This window comes from Homo sapiens, chromosome 1, assembly GCF_000001405.40.
Source record: "Homo sapiens chromosome 1, GRCh38.p14 Primary Assembly".
NCBI lineage: Eukaryota > Metazoa > Chordata > Mammalia > Primates > Hominidae > Homo > Homo sapiens.
This window is the reverse complement of record NC_000001.11, coordinates 161,095,170-161,100,560: the sequence shown is the minus strand read 5'-3', so window position 1 is coordinate 161,100,560 and position 5,391 is coordinate 161,095,170. Positions and strand designations below refer to the sequence as shown.

Here is a 5,391-nt window from a genome sequence, read left to right as displayed (position 1 = left end):
TCTTAGCTGTAGCCTGAAGTTTTCTCCCACTTGGGGGTGGAAATTGTTTTGAGACACGGAACAGCATATGATGTGTGGTTTTTGTTTCCATCAGGTTAATGACTCATAATATGAGAGTAGGACCCATATTTATTTTATCCTTTCCTTGCAAATAAAGGTATGTCCACTTATTTACTGCCCTTCCCCCTCCCCCCAAAAATTTCAGAGACAAATCTTGAGTCTCAGATTGAAATTTAATAAGCATTTGAAGTGAAGCAGATAGCTCTGGTGATAACGCTTTATAGGTTTGCAACAAAGCAAAACAAAACGAGGCTTAGTGATGTGTCTTGGCACTATTTAGATAAAGTCCAGGATGCAAACCTGTGGACTGGCTGTCCTGCCATCCTCACCAAAACCCCCAACCAGGTAAAGCTGATCATTCCAAAGGCAGGTGCGATGGCCCATGCGTTTCATCCCACGATCTGCACAGGGGAAGTGGAACCACAAAGGAGGAGATGTGCCTGTTGGATACGGGCAGAGGGTGGTTATTGAGGCAGTAGCACTTTGTCATTCACAGAATTCAACATGACCAAGGGCTTGCCCATTGTTTTTCTGCTCACTTGATTTGTAGGCCTCTTCAAATGCTTAATATTCTGTGTACTCCTTTAACTCCTGTCAACTAATTTTTCCTCCTCCCTACCCCATCACTCCATCCTCTTTCTGTAGTCTTCAGGTTCCCCCATCTTCCCACCTTCCCCCCCTTCAGCCATTAGTCTGGCTCTCACGAGTATCATAGATGTAGAGATCATTGCAGATGGTGTCTCTAGCTCTGGTCAGAGTTTCTCCACCAAACAGCACAGCAAAGGGCCCGACCACAGAACATGAGTGATGCCGTAGTCCATGGGGCCCCTTCTGGGACCCCTGCCCACTGCTCACAAGCCTTGCAAGCTGTTCCATCAAATGAGGAGCAACAGGTGGTTCCTCCTTGGGGAGAAAGAAAGGACTGTCCGAAGAGACCTGGGCATCACAATTTTAGCCTCTTCCCATCCTAAACAAGATGTGTGAGGAGCTAATACCTTAATTTTCCCATGACTCCAATGCCCAGCTACTTCTGGTTCAGCTAAGTTGCAACCTCCAAAGAGCAATAGCTGATGACCTGGATGGGGTCCAGGAGTTTGGAGCAGGGCCGCACAGTGACCTGAGCGTGAGGCTGTGTGGCAGCCTTCTTGCTTGTAGCTGTGGACATGCAGAAATTCAGGGCTGAGTGGGTTTTCTGGAAAATGTAAGTGCCACCGCCCTTGCCAAGGATGGATGGAGAAGAGGCATGGGGCAGTGCGGTAGGTGGGATAAGAGGGAGGGTAATACTGTAGAGAGCTCAGCTAGCTTAAACATGGTAGGTTCCCCTGGAAGGAGGGTGCTAGAGTGAGGAGGTGGATAAATTGCCTGAGAAATCTGCTTAGGCTTTTGTTTTTCGAGAGTGTGGATGAGAGTGAAAGGTTTTGGGCGGAGGGTGCCATACCAATAGGTGCGGGCGCTGGGGTCCAGCCTTAATGTGTAGATGCTTCCATAGCGTCGCTGAGTGTGGATACCGCCCTCCCGGCCAGCCACCTGCAGCTCTCGGTCAGAGATTCGGGTGCAGGTGTGACTACTGAGGCCGGCGGGGGGGCAGTCACCAGGGGTCCCTGTCCACGCCTCCCACACACCGCGCTCTGTGTCCAGTGCGGTCACTGTGGCCAAGCGGCGAGACCCGTCCCAGCCGCCCACCACGCAGAGCCAACGCCCGTCCACGGGTGCCGCGTCGTGGTGACTGCGCGGGGGGCTGCCCCGGGCTCCCAATCGTACGGCCTGGCCCCTAGCTGGGTCGAAAACCACCGTATCGCTGCTGGGCTCTCTCGCTCCTCCTGCTAGGAGACCACCTACGAGATAGAACCGTCCCCGCAGTTCGGTGCATGAATGGAAAGCTCTAGCCAAAAGCGCGTCCCGCGCCACTGGCCTCCAGGCCCAGCCTGAGCCTGCGGCCCGACCCGGGGGCACGGCCACCGCCATGGGCCCCGGGGAGAGGGAGGGCGGTGGGGTCTGCGGCTTGGAACGAGCCCCTACATGGCAGGCCAGGCACCTCGCCTTCCGCGGGCTTCCCCGGGAACCTCCCCCTACCGGACGCCAGCCGGGGTTCCCACCTCAAGTCCCGGCTTTCTCTCCGTGGTCGCCCAGCAACCACTGCAGCGGCTGCAGCGCGACCGCTGCAAACCGAAGGTCGCAAAGCAGCAGTTACCGTGGAGACAGGACACCTGGGTGGCTATCGGGAACCGTATGGTGGTGCCACCAAGGCTACGGGAGCTGTATCAGGTCAATAAAAATCCTGCAAGATTGTTAACCTCAGAAAGTCGGAGGACAGTCGGGTCCTTAGAATAAACCCCTGTGATCTCCGCTGTGAACTGATTTGCGATTTTGACATTTGAGGTGCAGGTGCTGCTCCACTAGGGCCGGGAGGGATCATTTGGCTTCAGGGTTTCTTACTCGGGCTAACCACCCCAGGGATGAGCAAGGAAGGAGAAGCAAAAGTCAGAGGGTGGGGAAGTGAAAGTGGACTGACCACTGGCCCGAGAGACAGGAGACCTGGGTTCTAGTCCCAACTATGCCCCTGACCCTCAAAGGCATTGTTTCTCTCTAGGCCTTCTCAGTTTTGTCATTCATCAAATAGGCTGTTCGTTTATTCCCAAAGGCTTGAAGGTCCCGATTGATTGGGTGGGAGAGTCCTTTCAGCTCTGGCCACTAGAGGGTAGCAGAACCCAGTCTCTCAGGTGACACACACACACACACACACACACACACACACACACACACAGAGAGAGAGAGAGAGAGAGAGAGAGAGAGAGAGAGAGAGAGAGAGAGATAGAGAGAGAGAGAGAACCCACGCAGCCTTAGAAGGGTGAAGTGGGGGAAGAGTGAGAAAATGAGAAAAACAGACTCCTACCCTTCCCTGATATCTTTTATTTAAGCCAGTTTCCAGATATTAACTCTGTCCCCCAGGACCAAGTGATAACTGAAGAGGCCCAGATGCAAGCTTTCTGCTTTCAGCTGAAGGAGGAAATACAGACAGAATTTTCCTCCCAACACAGCTGGTGTGGGGCAAAAACAGGATCTGTGTCCTCTGGGACTGGGCTGTAAGTGGGAATGATGACTGCTACTTGTGGCCTTTGGTTTCTACACATCACCTTGCTCCCCATCATACCTGAGATACTGAGACCATAGAAAGTGGCCAGGCAGGAGAATCACTTGAGGCCAGGAGTTCAGGAGTTCAAGACCAGCCTGGGTAACATAGTGAGACCCTGGCGAAAGAAAGAAAGAAAAAAAGAAAAGAAATAAAGAAAGGAAGAAAGGAGACAGTGGCCAGGGCTGCAGTGAGGATGGGCATGTAATGCAGGGTCTGATAGCACAGCAGGGCTTTCCCCTCCTCTTCCCAACTCTTGGTCCTCAGAGAACACAGCATGGGGATGGCATGGGCAGGAAAGGCACAGTTACAGAGATTGGAAGATTACCAGGACCTGTTCCCCACCTGTACCTTAAAGCCAAGATTCAACAATAGCTTTGAAAGTCTCTGCCCTCCCAACTATAGCTTTCCCTGAGTATGACAGGCAGTATTCTCAGTTTTCCAAAATCATGGTAAGAATCTCTAAAAAATCACTAACTTTTACTGTCCTTGGCTGAAATTTAAAAGTCAGTCTTTTCCCTCAGGCTTCTTTCTCACTGGCTAACCTCCCAACAGCTGGATTCAGATCTGTCATACTCCTAGGATTAGGCAAGGGCTTGCCTCAGGGGTGGGGCAATTTTGCTTAAACCTTATTGGCCTATATGTCCATTTTAGGCTCTTGCTTTTGCCTAAGTCTTGGCTGTTCTGTTAGACTTACTTTCTGCCTTTCCTGGATAGAAATGGGAACTCCCCACCCCACGGGCCTTTCCAGCTCCTCTCTCCCAGCTTCCTCTCTGACTCTGAGTCCTTAGCAGTAGGCATCTTAGTTAGACATAGAGCTTGAACCTCACATACTCCTTGGCTGTACCCTCTCCAGTTCTGTACCTAGATGCTTCCAGTTCCTCCTAATAGCTGGAAGCATCTGTCCATTGCTTTGCCATCCCAAGACCCTGGGAGAGGAACTGCCTAGGACTCCTACCTTCTTAGGTTAGTTTGAACCAAATCCATATTTTGGAGGAGGGAGAAAAGAAGCCAGAAAGAGAGAAACAGAGAGAGGAAGAAAGCAAACCAGCCAACCTGGACTTGTATGACACATGCTTCACACCGCAGGACAGCATCTGCAGTGGTCTATAATGACCTTGTCAATGATACACAAACTGAAAGGGCATTAAGATAAGTGAAAGGGGGAACTGAGAGAAAATTGTGAGAGACAGGGAAAAGGGCAGCCAGGGCTGTGAACCTGCTTTCACCTGCTAATAATATCCAGGGACAACCTCTGTCCAGAAATGAGAGCAGGGACTGGATATCCTGAAAGTCTCGTAATCCTGATGTGATCCCCTGATGTTGGCTTTGTCTCAGTTGGCCAAGAGTCTATATGATCTCTAGCAAGCAAGCACCCAGCTTCCTACCTAGCCTTAGATGTCTATCCTAGCCCCAAATCTACGCCCCCTTGCCTCAAACTTTCACAAAGCTCTTACTCTATCTTCTCCCTTCCTTAACCCCATTTTCTGACCCTGGAACCATCTCTGGTTCTTAGCATTATTCGGTACATACAGAAAACCAACAATTGGGCTGGGTGTGGTGGCTCACGCCTATAATCCCAACACTTTGGGAAGCCAAGGTGGGTGGATCACTTGAGGCCAGGAGTTCAAGACCAGCCTGGCCAACATGGTGAAACCCCATCTCTACTAAAAATAAAAAATAAAAAATTCACCAGCCGTGGTGGTGCATGCCTGTAGTCCCAGCTACTCTGGAGGCTGAGGCAAGAGAATCGCTTGAACCTGGGAGGCTGAGGTTGCAGTGAGCCGCGATTGTGCCATTGCACTCCAGCCTGGGTGACTGAGAGAGAAAGAGAAAGAGAGAGAGAAAGAAAAGAAAGAGAGAGAGAAAGAAAAGAGAGAGCGAGAAAGAAAAGAGAGAGAGAAAGAAAAGAGAGCAAGAAAGAAAAGAGAGAGAGAGAAAGAAAAGAGAGAGAAAGACAGAAAGACAGAAGGAAGGAAGGAAAGAAAGAAAGAAGAAAGAAAGAAAGAAGGAAGGAAGGAAGGAAAGAAAGAAGGAAAGAAAGAAAGAAAGACCAACAATTGCACCAAACGGTCTTAATCGCACTCAAGACTCCCACAGTTCCCTCTGCCCATGTCTCCCAGGCTGTCCCCATCCTTCAGGCCCTTTCTTTGACTCTTCTTCTGCTGTACCCTGACCCTTCTCTATTTCTCACACAGCTC

At 50.8% G+C, this 5,391-nt stretch overlaps 1 protein-coding gene across 4 annotated transcripts, besides 2 other annotated features; it reads right to left on the bottom strand.

Moving 5' to 3' along the window:
• Positions 1 to 214: 214 nt before the first annotated feature.
• KLHDC9 (kelch domain containing 9) lies at positions 215 to 2,200 on the bottom strand. Of its 4 annotated transcripts, none has more exons than NR_033386.2 (5): positions 2,157 to 2,200; positions 1,499 to 1,895; positions 1,056 to 1,215; positions 765 to 982; positions 215 to 500 (listed from the first exon to the last, which is right to left on the bottom strand). NR_033386.2 is itself a non-coding variant. In NM_001007255.3 (4 exons), the coding sequence occupies exons 1-3, from the start codon at positions 2,023 to 2,025 to the stop codon at positions 803 to 805; spliced, it is 867 nt and encodes a 288-aa protein (NP_001007256.1). In that variant the 5' UTR covers positions 2,026 to 2,200; the 3' UTR covers positions 215 to 500; positions 765 to 802. The 4 variants fall into 4 exon arrangements, 2 of the variants coding, with proteins under 2 accessions (NP_001007256.1, NP_689579.3); NR_033385.2 differs by having other exon boundaries at positions 765 to 963; NM_001007255.3 differs by having other exon boundaries at positions 1,499 to 2,200.
• Positions 1,777 to 1,826: a silencer, noted in NCBI's record as "silent region_1467". NCBI's record gives its function as "represses an Ori minimal core promoter by ATAC-STARR-seq in GM12878 lymphoblastoid cells {active_cell/tissue: GM12878}" and the evidence as "EXISTENCE:reporter gene assay evidence [ECO:0000049][PMID:35858748]".
• Positions 1,887 to 2,066: a silencer, noted in NCBI's record as "silent region_1466". NCBI's record gives its function as "represses an Ori minimal core promoter by ATAC-STARR-seq in GM12878 lymphoblastoid cells {active_cell/tissue: GM12878}" and the evidence as "EXISTENCE:reporter gene assay evidence [ECO:0000049][PMID:35858748]".
• Positions 2,201 to 5,391: the final 3,191 nt, after the last annotated feature.